Genomic DNA, 18,077 nt, shown 5'->3' on the forward strand with positions numbered 1-18,077 from the left:
GGCCATTTTCACAATATTGATTCTTCCTATCCATGAGCATGGAATGTTCTTTCATTTGTTTGCGTCCTCTTTTATTTTGCTGAGCAGTGGTTTGTAGTTCTCCTTGAAGAGGTCCTTCACATCCCTTGTAAGTTGGATTCCTAAGTATTTTGTTCTCTTTGTAGCAATTGTGAATGGGAGTTCACTCATGATTTGGCTCTCCGTTTGTCTGTTATTGGTGTATAGGAATGCTTGTGATTTTTACACATTGATTTTGTATCCTGAGACTTTGCTGAAGTTGCTTATCAGCTTAAGGAGATTTGGGGCTGAGATGATGGGGTTTTCTAAATATACAATTACGTCATCTGCAAACAGGGACAATTTGACTTCCTCTTTTCCTAATTGAATACCCTTTGTTTCTTTCTCTTGTCTGATTGCCCTAGCCAGAACTTCTGACACTATGTTGAATAGGAGTGGTGAGAGAGGGCATCCCTGTCTTGTGCCAGTTTTCAAAGGGAATGCTTCCAGTTTTTGCCCATTCAGTATGATATTGGCTGTGGGTTTGTCATAAATAGCTCTTATTATTTTGAAATAAGTCCCATCAATACCTATCTTATTGAGAGTTTTTAGCGTGAAGGCTGTTGAATTTTGTCAAAGGCCTTTTCTGCATCTATTCAGATAGTCATGTGGTTTTTGTCATTGGTTCTGTTTATGTGATGGATTACATTTATTGATTTGCATATGTTGAACCAGCCTTGCATCCCAGGGATGAAGCCGATTTGATCGTGGCGGATAAACTTTTTGATGTGCTGCTGGATTTGGTTTGCCAGTATTTTATTGAGGATTTTTGCATCGATGTTCATCAAGGATATTGGTCTAAAATTCTCTTTTTTTGTTGTGTCTCTGCAAGGCTTTGGTATCAGGATGATGCTGACCTCATAAAATGAGTTAGGGTGGATTCCCTCTTTTTCTATTGATTGGAATAGTTTCAGAAGGAATGGTACCAGCTCCTATTTGTACCTCTGGTATAACTGGGCTGTGAATCCATCTGGTTCTGGACTGTTTTTGGTTGGTAGGCTATTAATTATTGCCTCAATTTCAGAGCCTATTATGGGTCTATTCAGAGATTCCACTTCTTCCTGGTTTAGTCTTGGGAGGCTGTATGTGTCCAGGAATTCATCAATTTCTTCTAGATTTTCTAGTTTATTTGTGTAGAGATGTTTATAGTATTCTCTGATGGTAGTTTGTATTTCTGTGGGATCAGTGGTGATATCCCCTTTATCACTTTTTATTGCATCTATTTGATTCTTCTCTCTTTTCTTTTATTAGTCTTGCTAGCGGTGTGTCAATTTTGTTGATCTTTTAAAAAAAAACAGCTCCTGGATTCATTGATTTTTTGAAGGGTTTTGTGTATGTGTGTGTCTCTATCTCCTTCAGTTCTGCTCTAATCTTAGTTATTTCTTGCCTTCTGCTAGCTTTTGAATTTGTTTGCTCTTGCTTCTATAGTTCTTTTAATTGTGATGTTAGGGTGTCCATTTTAGATCTTTCCTGCTTTCTCTTGCGGGCATTTAGTGCTATAAATTTCCCTCTACACACTGCTTTAAATGTGTCCCAGAGATTCTGGTATGTTGTATCTTTGTTCTCATTGGTTTCAAAGAACATCTTTATTTCTGCATTCATTTCATTATTTACCCAATAGTCGTTCAGGAGCAAGTTGTTCAGTTTCCACGTAGTTGTGCGGTTTTGAGTGAGTTTCTTAATCCTGAGTTCTAATTTGATTGCACTGTGGTCTGAGAGACAGTTTGCTGTGATTTCTGTTCTTTTACATTTGCTGAGGAGTGCTTTACTTCCAAATATGTGGTCAATTTTGGAATAAGTGTGATGTGGTGCTGAGAAGAATGTATATTCTGTTGATTTGGGGTGGAGAGTTCTGTAGATGTCTATTAGGTCTGCTTGGTGCAGAGCTGAGTTCAAGTCCTGGATATCCTTGTTAACCTTCTGTCTTGTTGATCTGTTTAATATTGACAGTGGGGTGTTAAAGTCTCCCATTATTATTGTGTGGGAGTCTAAGTCCCTTCGTAGGTCTCTAAGGACTTGCTTTACGAATCTGGGTGCTCCTGTATTGGATGCATATATATTTAGGATAGTTAGCTCTTCTTGTTGAATTGATCTCTTTACCATTATGTAGTGGCCTTCTTTGTCTCTTTTGATCTTTGTTGGTTTAAAGTCTGTTTTATCAGAGACTAGGATTGCAACCCCTGCTTTTTTTTTTTTTTTTTTTTTTGCATTTGCTTGGTAGATCTTCCTCCATCCCTTTAATTTGAGACTATGTGTGTCTTTGCACATGCGATGAGTATCCTGAATACAGCACACTGATGGGTCTTGACTCTTTATCCAATTTTCCAGTCTGTGTCTTTTAATTGGGGCATTTAGCCCATTTACATTTAAGGTTAATATTGTTATGTGTGAATTTGATCCTGTCATTATGATGTTAGCTGGTTATTTTGCCCGTTAATTGATGCAGTTTCTTCATAGCATTGATGGTCTTTCCAATTTGGCATGTTTTTGCAGTGGCTGGTACTGGTTGTTCCTTTCCATGTTTAGTGCTTCCTTCAGGAGCTCTTGTAAGGTAGGACTGGTGGTGACAAAATCTCTCAGCATTTGCTTGTCTGTAAAAGATTTTATTTCTCCTTCACTTATGAAGCTTAGTTTGGCTGGATATGAAATTCTGGGTTGAAAATTCTTTTCTTTAAGAATGTTGAATATTGGCCCCCACTCTCTTCTGGCTTGTAGAGTTTCTGCTGAGAGATCCGCTGTTAGTCTGATGGACTTTCCTTTGTGGATAACCCGACCTTTCTCTCTGGCTGCCCTTACATTTTTTCCTTCATTTCAACCTTGGTGAATCTGACAATTATGTATCTTGGGGTTGCTCTTCTCAGGGAGTATCTTTGTGGTGTTCTCTGTATTTCCTGAATTTGAATGTTGGCCTGCCTTGCTAGGTTGGGGAAGTCCTCCTGGATAATATCCTGAAGAGTATTCTCCAACTTGGTTTCATTCTTCCCGTCACTTTCAGGTATGCTGATCAAACGTAGATTTGGTCTTTTCACATAGTCCCATATTTCTTGGAGGCTTTGTTCATTTATTTTTACTCTTTTTTCTCTAAACTTCTCAATTTATTTCATTAATTTGATCTTCAATCACTGATACCCTTTCTTCCACTTGATCAAATTGGCTATTGAAGCTTGTGCATGCATCACGTAGTTCTCATGCCATGGTTTTCAGTTCCATCAGGTCATTTAAGGTCTTCTCTACACTGTTTATTCTAGTTAGCCATTTGTCTAATCTTTTTTCAAGGTTTTTAGCTTCCTTGAGATGGGTTCAAACATCCTCCTTTAGCTCGGAGAAGTTTGTTATTACCGACCTTCTGAAGCCTACTTCTGTTAACTCATCAAAGTCATTCTCTGTCCAGCTTTGTTCTGTTGCTGGCGAGGAGCTGCGATCCTTTGGAGGAGAAGAGATGCTCTGGTTTTTAGAATTTTCAGCTTTTCTGCTCTGGTTTCTTCCCATCTTTGTGGTTTTATCTACCTTTGGTCTTTGATGTTGGTGACCTACAGATGGGGTTTTGGTGTGGATGTCCTTTATGTTGATGTTGATGCTATTCCTTTATGTTTGTTAGTTTTCCTTCTAACAGTCAGGTCCCTCAGCTGCAGGTCTGTTGGAGTTTGCTGGAGGTCCACTCCAGACCATTTGCCTGGGTATCACCAGCAGGGAGGCTGAAGAACAGCAAATATTGCAGAACAGCAAATATTGCTGCCTGATCCTTCCTCTGGAAGCTTTGTCCCAGAGGGGCACCCGCCTGTATGAGGTGTCAGTCGGCCCCTACTGGGAGGTTTTTCCCAGTTAGGCTACACAGGGGTCAAGAACCCACTTGAGGGGGCAGTCTGTCCATTCTCAGAGCTCAAACACCATGCTGGGAGAACCACTGCTCTCTTCAGAGCTGTCAGACAGGGACATTTAGTCTACAGAGGTTTCTGCTGCCTTTTGTTCAGCTATGCCCTGCCCCCAGAGGTGGAGTCTATAGAGGCAGCAAGCCTTGCAGCAGTGAACTGGTGGGCTCCGCCCAGTTCAAGCTTCCTGGATGCTTTATTTACCTACTCAAGCCTCAGCAATGGCGGATGCCCCTCCCCATGCCGGGCTGCTGCCTCGCAGGTTGATCTCAGACTGCTGCACTAGCAGTGAGCAAGGCCCCATGGGTGTGGGACCTGCCGAGCCAGGCACAGGATATAATCTCCTGATGTGCTGTTTGCTAAGACTGTTGGAAAAGTGCAGTATTTGAGCAGGAGTGTACTGTTTTTCAGGTACAGTCTGTCACGGCTTCCCTTGGCTAGGAAAGGGAAATCCCCTAGTCCCTTGCACTTCCCAGGTGAGGCGACACCCATCCCTGCTTTGGCTTGCCCTCCGTGGGCTGCACCCACTGTCCAACCAGTCCCAGTGAGATGAACCAGGTACCTCAGTTGGAAATGCCGAAATCACCCATCTTCTGCATCAATCACACTGGGAGCTGCAGACCAGAGCTGTTCTTATTAGGCCATCTTGGAATGGACCTCTAATATTTTTTATTTTATTGCTTATGTGTACACATCTTTTCTATTATATTCACTCAGCAAACATTTATTAAGCATTTATTTCTTACTAACCCCTTTGCTAAGAATTGGAGACAGAGAGAGAAATCAAATGAGAGTCTTTTCCTTCAAGGAACTCACAGCCTAATTGAGGGTGGTAGACAGCAAGTAAACCTGGATTTAGAATATAATACAGTGTGATAATGTTCTTTCTTTATTTACTTATTTAAGAGACAAGGTCTTGCTCTATCACACAGGCTGAAGTGCAGTGGTGCAATCATAGCTCACTGCAGCCTCTAACTTCTGGGCTCAAACGATCCTCCCGCCCCAGCATCCTGAACAGCTAGGACTACAGGCACATGCCACCATGCCCAGCTAATTTTTAAAACATTTTTTTGTAGAGATAGCATCTCACTATGTTGCCCAGGCTGGTCTCAAACTCCTGGCCTCAAGCCATCCTCTTGCCTCAGTTTTCCAAAATGTTGGGATTACAGGTGTGAGCCACTGCACTCAGCCCAGTGTGATAATTTTAATATCAATATTTCTAAATGTTCTGAGCATAGAGATGGGGTGCTTAATGCTGCTACCATGGGATTGGAAAGACAAGGCTATTACATTGTTCATCCTATGGGTATAATTGTCTTTATTCATACTGCCTTGGAAAGACCCTGCCATCAGTCAATCAGTTGGGAAATGAAGAGGCATTATATGTATATAATAGTGTTACATTCACTTTTATTTATTTCACAGAAATAATAATAGCCAATATTTAAAGTACTTGCTTATCACATCTCAAGCACTGCTCTAAGCACTTTACGTATAGTAACTCATTAGTCTTTACAACAGTCTTTAAGGTAGGTGCTATTGATACCTCTATTTTATAGAAGAAGCAACTGAAGCACAGGCTTTAAATCTGTGCTCTAAGACACTCTCCTAGTAAGTAGCAAAGGTAGGTGGCTTGAATCTAGAGGCCATATGCTTAACCACCTTCCTCTCCTATCTCTCAATTCTACTTCCTTAGTATTTAATAAAATAAGGTAGCAATATATTTTCTTTTGTAATTCTTTCCCTCTCCTTTCTCCCCTTTCTCCCCCTCCTTCACACTCCCTCTGTTTCCATAATGATTTGTTGACTACCTATTCTATGCAGGGTGTTGGGGACGCAAAGGCAAATATAACAACAACAACAGCAAAAGACATACTTAGAAAATTAAGGGAACACTGAGGAGAGAGATGTCTAAACAGGATGGAGAGAGGAGGTCAAAGAAGCCCTCCTGGAAGAGATGATCTTGAGCTTAGTTTTGAAGGGTGAATAGGAATCAACTACTAGGATACAGCAAGGCTTAGGGGAAAAAACACAGGCTCTGGAATCAGATCCAAGTTCATTCAAATCAAGTTGTGTGTGACCTTGGGCAAGTTACTTAAAATCTTCCAGGCTCAACTCTCTGCGTATGTAGAATAGGCATTATAATACCTACCTTTTGGCCAGGTGCAGTGGCTCACGCCTGTAATCCCAGCACTTTGAGAGGCCGAGGTGGGCCGATCACCTGAGGTCAAGAGTTCAAGACCAGCCTGACCAACATAGTGAAACCCTGTCTCTACCAAAAATACAAAAATTAGCTGAGCATGGTGGTGCATGCCTGTAGTACCAGCTACTTGGGAGGTTGAGGTGGGAGAATCAGTTGAACTCAGGAGGTGGAGATTGCAGTGAGCCAAGATCGTGCCACTGCACTCCAGCCTGGGTGACAGAGCGAGACCTTGTCTCAAAATAATAATAATAATATCTACCTTTTAAGGCTGTTGTGAGAATAAGAATGATGACTTACGGAAAGCATCCTGCACAGTGCCTGCCACAAAGCAGACCGTATGTGCTGGCTGTTATCATGATTGTTTATAATCTCATTAATAAAAAGTGAAATAGAACCACCAAATAATAAAGCTAAGCAGAGCATTAAGAGTTATTATGTAGATAAGGAAATGGAGACCCAGAGAGAAGCCAGTGTCACACAGGCTGAGTGGCAGTTGGAACTGGAATCCAGATCTTCTGACAGTCTACTTTTTTCTTCGCCTATCTGACATTCCAAACTCCTTTGTTTACAAGTCAATCCACCTCATCCCCCAGGATAACAAAGAAGTTCTCAAACTTTCCAATTGTTTGTACTCTACCTTTGTGATTTTTACCATGTTCTTGTATTGACGTGCTTTTATGCTATTATTTACTTAGTTTTTTTTTTTTTTTCAAATAAACTCATTTTTACTAAAAGTACTTTAAATTAAACTTTAGCTGGGGCAACAGAGAAACCTCATCTCTACCAAAAAAAATTTTTTTTTAAATTAGCCAAGCATGATGGTGTGTACCTGTGTTCCCAGCTACTTGGGAGGCTAAGGTGGGAAGATTGCTTGAGCCCAGGAGTTCAAGGCTGCAGTGAGCCATGATCACACTACTGTACTCCAGCCTAGGTAGCAGAATAAGACCCTCTCTCAAAAATAAATAAATAAATAAATAAGCAAATACAGTGAAAATTTCATATCATTATCGTAAATGGAAAACCAAAAATATCACCTGTGAAATCATAGGTTTGTGGTATAATATAGTTCTTCAAAGACATCTTAAAATAAATACTGAAATATTAAAATAAAAGGCGTTTCATCAAAAATTATCTGCGCTGCCCTGAGTGGCATGCATACTACTTCTTAGGAAATGCTGGCCTATAGAGTGAATTATTTTCCTTTCACAGAAATTCTAGATCATGTACAAATCTATCCTAAAACAAAACTGCCCTTTTCAGTGGCTGGTTTATATTCAGAAGGCACAGAACATAAGACCCAACTCACTCCCTGGCCTGCCACCGACCCACTGTTATTCGTATCAGCTATCACTGGTCCTTAGTTGAATACTAGTCTCACCTCTTTTAGCTAACTTCTCTACTCCTTGGAGTTTTAGATCCCTGGCATAAAACATGTACTAGAACCTAATATGATAAAGTGCATTTGTTTGGAAACTTCAGCACCCTGTTTCTAGCAGATTCTATCACATGGACTTGGGGTTTAGAGTTGGGATAACCTAGATCAGTTCCTGCCCAAAAGGGACCACTGCTTCCAAATGCAACCTTCCAAATGGTTCCATTCCAGGTGGCTGCCAGTGGGCCTGTGAACCAATTGAGGTACAGGTGCTTCTGGCTAGAACTGCTGCCACTAGGTGGACATAAATGGCAATTGCACCATTCTGACCTGTCAACTAGGTCATGAGCCCTGGCTCCAGCACTTTCCCTTAGAGGCAGTTGGCCTTTCTCTGTTAATTCTCTGACACCCTCTGTTCCCCCTTCCTCCAAGTCCTCCTCTGGGTAAGTTAGCACTGGGGATGTTTGCATACCTAGCACTTAGCTAACTGATATTCTGTCACAACCTGCTCAACAAATGTTAGGCTTTTTTGTATTTTGTTAGAATTTAGTGACACTTAGGTTATATTTTTAGCCAGGTTGGAGAGGGAAAAGGAGGAGTTACTTTAGCATGCAGGAAATGTATTGCCAGGTCTTTCTTGCCTGGCATTCTCCTAAGCATCTGTGAATACCTTTAACACACAGCGTTCAGGATCTGATCTGATCTGATTTTATCAGCTTGTATCCTGGGCAAAGCCAACAAGAGGATGAAGAACATTTTGTGCTTCTTCATGTTCTGTATCATTACCCTTTATTGTTAGTGCTCTCATCTCTTTCTAAAGAGGCCAGCCTTGCTCAACCATGGTAGACACCTGTGTGGGAGTCACATAGCAAAGTCTGATGCACCACTGGAAGTAAAGAAGGTCTGGTCTAGAACTTTGTAATGAGGGTCCCCCCACCATCAGCAAGAAGTACATCTTATTCATATGTTTAAATATCAGAATGTTCTTGTGATCAAGAGAAAAATTAAAACAAACTCAGACAGAATCTCCATCCTCAAAGACTGCTAGGAACATCAAGAATTACCCACAGTTCTTGTTTTTTGTATTTTTTTTTTGTTTTATTTTGTTTTGTTTTAAACAGAGTCTCGTTCTGCCACCCAGGATGAAGTGCAGTGGCGAGATCTCTTGGCTCACTGCAACCTCCACCTCCTGGGCACAAGCAATTCTCTCGCCTCAGCCTCCTGAGTAGCTGGGATTACAGGCGCAAGCCATCACACCTAGCTAATTTTTGTATTTTTAGTGGAGACGGTTTTGCCATGTTGGCCAGGCTGGTCTCGAACTCCTGACCTCAGGTGATCCGCCCGCCTTGGCCTCCCAAAGTGCTGGGATTACAGGTGTGAGCCACCACGCCTGGCTTAAGAATTAAGCCAGGTTCACGCCTATAATCCCAGCACTTTGGGAGGCCAAGGCGGGCGGATCACAAGGTCAGGAGTTCAAGACCAGCCTGACCAATATGGTGAAACCCCGTCTCTACTAAAAATCCAAAAAAAAAAAAAAAAAAAAATTAGCCAGGCATGGTGGCGGGTCCCTGTTATCCTAGCTACTCAGGAGGCTGAGGCAGGAGAACCGCTTGAACCTGGGAGGCAGAGGTTGCAGTGAGCCAAGATCGTGCCACTGCACACCAGCCTGGGTGACAGAGCAAGACTCCGTCTCAAAAAAAAAAAAAAAAAAAAATTACCCATAGTTCTATCTGAAGGGCCTGGGACTTCCTGATGAAAACAAAAATAGGATATCACTTTTATAGCAGCCTATTAGACAACAAAAATAGAATATCATTAAAATTGGAGACTGCATTTCACGTCTGTGTCAGAAACACTAACTAATAGGAGCAATTGTCACCCTGAAAAGTATGTGGTGCAGTGGTTAGAACCTGGACTGCAAACAGAAGAAAGTGGGGTATCTATTTCCATCAAGCTGCTATTAACTCTGATTTTGCCCAGTTCAAGTAGATGTACAATACTTTGTTCTTATGCAGGGAGGCTGGGGAGAATCCTGTCAGGCAGAGCTTAAACAACCTCTCCATCCAACCAAGGCAGATTGTCCTTCCTAGAAAATCATCCACCTACACTGACCTATCAAAAACTCCCTTAGCACACCCACTACCAAATATGGCACCCAAATGAATTTAGTCATCTCTCAGAAGAAATGAATCAAGTGAACCTTCACTAATCCAGTCAATTTAATTCCCCCTTAATGGGAATTAAATTAAGAACTGAATAATGCATGATGACATTTCTGCTTTCTAGTCTTATATAGAAATTATTCCTCTAGCTTTAAATCATGGTTATCTCTGATAGAGGAAATGAACAATTGATCAAGTAATAGGAGTGCCATGTTGTAGGAAGTGAAGGAGTAGAAAAACTAGAGTGAGAAGTAGGTGATAGAATAAGTAAATAATGAGCTTGAGACTCTTTGATAAGCCAGACAGGGATGCTGGGCTGGGCAGGAGAGCTATTTGTTTTGGAAATTACTTAGCTGATCATTTCAGGAGTTACATGAACCTGGGACACAGTAAACACTAAATTTCATAGAATGTCCTGCCTGGAAGAAATCTGTAATTTCATTTAGCCAAACTTCCCAAGAGATGCCTGAAAGCCTTCTATAGACTCAATTTGCTAGAAAATGTTTCTGATTTTAAGCATTCTATTAACACGAAACCCCAGCAAATATTTAAAAAATAACTCCCATGTGTTGCAGTTCTGATTATTACTTCATAGCCGTAAGAATGGGACTTCACCTTTATGATCCTTTGCTTACAATGTATGTGACCTTGGGCCAGTCATTTCACCTCTCTGGACATTAGTTTCTTTATGTATAAATAACAACTCCAGCCCTGCCTTGCCTGCCTGCCACTCAGGGTAAATAATGGGCTAAAGAAGGTAATATTCAACCTGAGCAATATCATGAGATCCTGTCTCTACAAAAAAAAAAAAAAAAGAAAAAAAAAGCCAGGGCTGGTGGTGCCGGCCTCTAATCTCAGCTACTCAGGAGGCTGAGGTGGGAGGATCCCTTGAGCCTGGGAGGTTGAGGCTGCAGTGAGCCGTGATCACACCATTGCACTCCAGCCTGGATGACAAAGTGAGACCCTGTCTCAAAAAAGAAAAAAGATCATATTAGTGGAAGTCTCTTGGTAACCATTAAGGTATGGTGGACATTTTAAAATACTGTATAAGGCCGGGTGTGGTGGCACATGCCTGTAATCTCAGCACTTTGGGAGGCTGAGGTGGGTGGATCACTTGAGTTCAGGAGTCAAGACCAGCCTGGGCAACATGGCAAAACCCCATCTCTCCAAAGAAAAATAAAATAAAAAATAAGCCGAGCATGGTGGCCCGTGCCTGTGACACCAGCTGCTCAGGGGGTTGAGGCCGGAGGATCGCTTGAGCCCTGGAGGCGGACGTTGCAGTAGCGGAGATCACGCCACTGCACTCCAGTTAGGAAGACGGAAGTGAAACCCTGTCTCAAAAAATAAATAAAATTAAAATTAAGGCCGGGCACGGTGGCTCACGCCTGTAATTCCAGCACCTTGGGAGGCCAAGGCGGGCGGATCACGAGGTCAGGAGAGCGAGACCATCCTGGCTAACACGGTGAAACCCCGTCTCTACTAAAAATACAAAAAATAAGCCGGGCGCGGTGGTGGGCGCCTGTAGTCCCAGCTACTCGGGAGGCTGAGGCAGGAGAATGGCGTGAACCCGGGATACGGAGCTTGCAGTGAGCCAAGATAGCGCCACCGCAGTCCGGCCTGGGTGAAAGAGTGAGACTCCGTCTCAAAACAAAACAAAAAAAATTAAATACTGTATAAAAGTGTTACTCTTAGCTCCTACATTCCATAACCAGGGACATCCCATGTGCTATGTAAGAGTAGCAATGGTTCATGCCTCTCTTTGTTTTTTTGAGACAGGGTCTCATTCTATTGCCCAGGCTGGAGCAGTGACGATCATAGCTCATTATAGCCCCAAACTCCTGGGCTCAAGTGATCCTCCCACCTCAGCCTCCAGAGTAGCTGGGACTATAGGCACGCACCACCATGCCCAGCTAATTTTTTTTATTTTTTTATAGAAACGGGGTCTCATGTTGTTGCCCAGGCTGGTCTCAAGCTCCTGGGCTCAAGTGATCCTCTCACCTCGGCCTCCCAAAGTGCTGGGATTACAGGCATGAGCCACTATGCCCGGCCTCATGTCTCTCCATTCTACTAAGAGGTTCCTCCCCTTTGCCAATAATTCTTCCCCAGAGTTAGCCACAGATGGGTCACTATAAGAGCGTTCTTCAAGGGGTCCTGTGTTTTTTCACGAAAAACAAGGAATGGGCTTGTGTGGCCACACGGTCTGCTGGGGTAACAGCCAGCAGATAGTGAGGCTTTCAGCAGGAACAGCTGCAGGCCTCTTGCTTTTCCCCACATCTTCAACTACCGAGGCCACTTGCTCACTAGGCCTCCAGTGGCATGGGTGAGCCCTAAGGAGCATGGCAACAGGCAGCCACACAGAGGATTCTCATAGTTTTCGTTCTCAGGCACAGGAGAACCTCATAAAGGCACACTTGTTGTTTATCCTAATAGGCATTTAGTAAGTGTTTATTATGACTTAGGTCCTGTGCTAACCACTGGGGATAAGAGCTGAGTCAGATGTGCTGCCTGCCCCTGAGACCTCACAGTTTAGTGGGAGAAACAGACTCATGAGTGTTATACACAGGATGTGTTATGATCAGAGCCTGCAGTGTGTGGGCATAGCTGATGGGTCACTAAAATCTATCTGAGGACTCAGGCTCAGGGGAGGCTTCTCAGAAGAGATGAGATTTAAACCGGACTTTAACGGGCATTTCAGACAGAGGGAGCTGCAAGTACAAAGGCACAGAGATGTGAAAGGGCATCTTGGCTCTGGGCACAGTAACAGTAAGGTTGGAGTGTCTGTTACACATCAGGGAGTGGAAGAACTGAAACAGGAGAGGTAGCTGGAGTCCAAAGGGCCTGGCCTTTATATGTCATGGGAGCCACGGAAGGGTTTTAGGGAGAAGAATGTGATGGGCAAGTAAGAATCTTAGAGCTGTGGCAGTATGAGGGCTGGGTGGGAAGAGGTGAGAAATGAACTGGGGTATTGAAGTGAGGGACAGATTCTAGAGAGATTTAGAAGGTAGAATTGATTGATCTTATTAGAAATTCTAAGAGCTTCTGGGACAGGAAATTAAAAGAGAAAGAAGGCAGACTGAAAACTTAGTGAAGGCCCATAGGTAAGATGACAAGATATCTTGCATCAAGCAAATCAGACCTTGATTTCACCTTCTGGACAGCCTGGCCAAGATGGCCTATGTAATGTTTGTGGACAATAGATGAAAAAGCTTTTTGTTACAGTTTTACAATTTTTTTTTACAGCTACAGAGTTGGATTCAGCAGATCTGGCTGGCTAGGCCAGTGTGCCCTTCTTCCTCCCCTCCTGCCCCCACCTCATGTCTTAGCCTCAAAACAAATTACTTTGTCAAGGAAGAAGCCTTCCCAAGATAGAGGAAGGTTAAGAATTAAGAAACAGCTGTGCTGAGATCTCCATATTAAGTCCTATCTACACCCATGCATTACCACTAAGAACTGTATCAGTCGGAATGCCCTGCTGCCTGTAGCATACAGTTACACAACAAGCATAGGGACAGATTCCCAGAAGAATTGGTATTTGAGCTGGGTCTTGAAGGAAAGCAAAGGAAAAATAAGCACACTAAAATAGTATCCTCCCTGGTGTAGCCCTTTTCTAGAAGTACACCTAGAATGCAACAGAATGTTCTGCAGTGATAGAAATTGTCTTCTGTATTATCCCATATGGTAGCCACTAGTCACACATGACTATTAAAGCACTTGAAATGTGGCTAATGCAACTAAGGGACTGAATTTTTTAATTTTTATTTTGCTTTAATTTAAATGTAAATAGCCATATTGCAGCTAGTGGCTACCATATTGGACAGCACAGCTCTGGAGTCCACTTAGCATCTCTAGATTCTGTTTCACATGGTCCTTCCTTGCTTCATTCCCCTTGGGAGCTTTGCCTGTCCCTGTTCCCTTCTGCCCAGTCCCTCCAGTTTGACATGCTCATTGGCTACCTTCCAGCTTCCAACACCAGCTCTGTTTCCTGGGTTTTTTTTTATTTTTTATTTTTTGAGACAGCGTCTCGCTCTGTCAGCCAGAGCGACAGAGGAGCCTCGGGAGGCTGGAGTGCCATGGAGCGATCTCGGCTCACTGCAACCTCTGCCTGCCAGGTTAAAGTGATTCTCCTGCGTTAGCCTCCTGAGTAGCTGGGACCACAGGCATGCGCCACCATGCCTGGCTAATTTTTTGTATTTTTAGTGGAGACAGGGTTTCACCATGTTGGCCAGGCTGTTCTTGAACTCCTGACCTCAAGTGATCTGCCCACCTCGGCCTCCCAAAGTGCAGGATTACAGGCGTGAGCCACCACGCCCAGCCTGTTTTCTGGTTGTTGATCTCCTCTCTGTCATCATGGCAGAACCCTGAACTATCTTCCATGTGACTCAGCCTTGCTATCTCCCAACCTTTGCTGGTGTGTGGGCCTAGATAATGTAGCCTCACCGGATCCTGGTCCTACACTTTTGGTCCTTCGTTAGGCCTTATTCACTCCTCCCTTGTTTTCCTGGCTACTTAAACCAGCCAGTTAGTAACCTGGCATATTCTTTGATGTTTTCCCTCCCTGTCAACTTGAGTTAGAGAATGGAACAGTTGGGATGGTCGTGTGTATGTACTGGGGCAGTGTGTGTCTGTGTGTGTGTGTGTGTGTGTGTGTGTGTAAGTAACTGGTTACATAAATACTTTGATAGGAGGTATCTGGTAGTAGGTGAAGGGCTCCATCTCCTGAGATCTTTGCTGTCTGGCATTTTTAACTTTGATTCTTACAAAGTTCAAACATTGAACTTTGGCCGTATAAAAAGGCCAATATTAATAGATTGATTACATTTGTGGGTGGAAAAGATGGATTCAGAATCCAAGAAACAAAAAGTTTCTTGACAAGCCAAAACACTAGGACAGATTTAACCTGATTATATGTAACAATGACTAATTTCCGATCCTGTATTTGGGTCTAAATGGCTAAATGCCAAGGTAGCATATATGGTTTAGAAGACTTGGTGGCTTTAGCTGATTATGAATCAGTGGTGGGTAACAAGATAATAAACTCTTGAAAAGAACCAATAGAATAGCATCCAAGAGGAGTGATAGGCCTACTCACTTTCCCATGGATTAGACCACACTTGGATCATTGTTTCAGGTTCTGAGCACCTCTCTTTAAAACAAAAACAAAAACAAAACCCAAGAATTAAAAAAAAAAAAAATCACCTCAAACAACTAAGGGGACTGACCACGATGGTGAAGGGACTGGTGGCCTGCCATACAAGGACTTGGGACAAGTGAGCTTTAGGAGAGCAGACCATGGGGATGGTCACTGTCTTCAGTCTCCGAAGGGCAGTTACAGAGCACTCCAGAAGGCAGGGCAAAAATAAACGAGTGAAAATTTGAGCAGATTTCAGCTCAGTTTCAGGAAAATATTTCCAATTGTCAGAACTGTGACTTCTGGTGGTCCAACCTGCTGAGGCAGTGCAGAGTTTAGTGGAGACCCTGGAGGAACGATGTCAAACATGCCCCTAAGCCAGTCTGCTCAAATATTGATTGTCTCCCCAGTGGTGGATAGCTAATTCAAAGTGTGTAGGCCCTGTACTTGCTGACCCCGTTTAGCTTACAGGTTCTATATTAAGTGTCAGACTCTTCTCATTCTAGCTCAGCATTCCAATTAAATAACCTTGGCTCCTTGCATGTGGGAAACAGGTTTCAAGCACAGAACCCCTAGCACCAAGCAGAATGGCAACATAATTTTAGCTCCTGAGCAAAACGTGTCTCACAATAGCGTCAGTACAGTGTGCACATTAACATTTGAATATGCTGTATAATAAGCGTGCTAATTACTCTGAGAAGAATACTTAAAGAATAAAATAAGCTGTGATCATTAGAGGAGAAGGGGGTTAGCAATTTATGGCATGGGCTGCTGCTTGATATTCAAAAGTACATGATGGCTCTCATCTCAGGTAAAAGGGAATTATTGAAACCATAAAAATGTAATGATCGTGGCAGATAGTGATCAGCATTTTATAGGAAATGTTTGTGGCAGAGTCTTTTTTAAAAAACACTTTCAGATTTACTACTAATAAAATGTGTCCCCATTTGGTTGTTTGGTTCCTTTGAGCAGTTTGAAATGTGAAGCCATTGTTGTAGCGTTAATCTCAGCTTTGTGGAAATGGCTGATGGAGTCTTCACCCAGATGAGCAGCTGAGATGGGGAGCCCTCAGACTGGACACGGGCCTGATAATCACCTTGCCCGAACAGAAACTGGAAAGGGGAGCTGGAACCACACTACTTGATGACCTAGACCTGCGGTTTTCAGTCTGGTCTGCACACCTCTTGGGGGTCTTAATACTCTTTCAGCAGGTTCATTAGGTCAAAATTATTTTCACAATAATATTAAGATGTTGTGTGACTTGTTCACAGCATTGAAAGACTACATATTATATAATTACATTTATATGAAATGTCTACAAAAATTAGCCAGGCATGGTGGCGCATGCCTGTGGTCCCAGCTACTTGGGAGGTTGAGGTGGGAAGATCACTTGAGCCCAGAAGGCAGAGGTTGCAGTGAGCAACCTCTGCCCTCCACTGCACTCAAGCCGGGGTGACAGAGCCAGAGCCTATCCCCCCCCCAAAAAAAGAAAAGAAAATAAAAGTCCATAATAGGTAAACCCATAGAGATAGAAAGCAGATAGTAGCTGCCAGGGACTGGGGGAGGCCAGAATGGGGAGTGATGGCTTAATGGGTACAGGGTTTCCTTTTGTGATGAAAATGTTCTGGAACTAGGTAGCAGTGGCATTTGTACGACACTGTGAATGTACTAAATGCCATTGAATTATATACTTTAAAATGCTGACTGTTACATGAATTTTACCACACACACACAAAAAAAATGTGAAGGTCGCATATTGTAGTGCATGGGAGCTTCTTCCCATCCAGAACAGAAGCTTCTTGAGGGTCTTCTAATCTTGGAAGTTCTCTTTGTTATGTGCTGTTTGAAACCAGCACATGGAAGTTCTCTTCACCACAATTCTTTCAGTAGCTACAATTCTTAAAGTAATGAAACATTTTCCCTAGTTCCCCAACACACTAGGTATTTTAAATCTACTTCTTTTAACCCTGTCTCTGCTAGTTTCTGTATCTGAAATATCTTCTGTCAACCTGGAAAGCTACTACTACCTGGCCTTTGAAACCCATCTAAAATGACACTCCCTCTGCAAAATCTTCCTGGGCCACCACGCACCCCAAGAATTGGTCCCTTCTGCCTCTCTGGATTTCTACAGTACTTTGGTTCTATTCCTTTTAACATAGTCCTGATACAAGGCCTTATCACATTGAATCACAGTTAGAACATATCACTTTTTGTTAATGTCTGTCTCCCCAAAGGTGACTTGTAAGAGCAGTATTTTCTTATCCCTAAAGCACAATGCACACACATACACAAACACACGCATACTCCAAATGTGCTCATTAACAACTATATGTTAGGTACTTTTTTAGAGGCCTTAGAGACATTAACTCATTTAATCCATATAACCTTATATACATTTTATTGATGATTCAACTCAGGAAACAAAAACTTTCAGGTTGTAAAGTGATGTTAAAACAGAAAATCCATGTGATAGCAAAACCAAACTTGGCACATGGTTGCTGCACATGGTTGCTGCCTGTTTTCTCTAACAATAGAAAAAAATGGCTAATAATATTAAGTAAATGGAAGAGACTTTATGACTTAAGTGACATTTAGGAAGATGTTTCCATACTTTTCAGACTTCATAGTGTTAGAGCTGAGAGGGACCTTGGGGATCTCCTGGTGCGAGTTAAAGGTAAGGCAGGGAAAATAGGGCTTGCCTGTACCAGAATAATCCTGTAGAAGAAATCCTGTAGAAGAAACAGGAACCTAAAGCTTAAGAGGAGGGATCGGGAGGAGGAAAAGAAGCCAAGAGAGAGAAGGCATTCATCAAGGAGAGAAAGGATAGTTAAGACAGTTATTCAGCTAGCACCTTAGAAACCCTGCCCAGAAGAGGGCCAGGCATGGTGGCTCACACCGGTAATCCCAGCACTTTGGGAGGCAGAGGTGGGCGGATCATGAAGTCAGGAGATCGAGACCATCCTGGCTAACACAGTGAAACCCTGTCTCTACTAAAAATACAAAAAATTAGGCAGAGCTTGCAGTGAGCCGAGATCGTGCCACTGCACTCCAGCCTGGGTGACAGAGCAAGACTCCGTCTCAAAAAAAAAAAAAAACCATTCATTTGTTGATTTTGTTGATTTTGTTTTTGTTTTTTTTAACCCATCCTTGCTCAAAGAAATAAAATACATTCATTTGTAAGTAACTAAAACACAACCAACAGACTGACCTAACAACAAAAGTTCACACTAAAAGTCCAGGGTAATTCAGGCTCCAGGCTTGGTTTGATTTAGCAGATCACCAATGT

The 18,077-nt window shown here is 42.6% G+C and overlaps 2 annotated features.

Annotated features, from left to right (window-relative positions):
• Positions 11,991 to 12,285: a silencer, noted in NCBI's record as "tiled region #4249; K562 Repressive DNase matched - State 5:Enh". NCBI's record gives its function as "represses a minimal TATA promoter and a strong SV40 promoter by Sharpr-MPRA in K562 cells {active_cell/tissue: K562}" and the evidence as "EXISTENCE:reporter gene assay evidence [ECO:0000049][PMID:27701403]".
• Positions 13,857 to 14,362: a transcriptional cis regulatory region, noted in NCBI's record as "candidate enhancer chr9.1594 targeted for multiplex CRISPR interference". NCBI's record gives its function as "positively regulates ANP32B and HEMGN gene expression with high confidence in K562 cells {active_cell/tissue: K562}" and the evidence as "EXISTENCE:mutant phenotype evidence [ECO:0000015][PMID:30612741]".

Source organism: Homo sapiens, chromosome 9 (assembly GCF_000001405.40).
Source record: "Homo sapiens chromosome 9, GRCh38.p14 Primary Assembly".
NCBI lineage: Eukaryota > Metazoa > Chordata > Mammalia > Primates > Hominidae > Homo > Homo sapiens.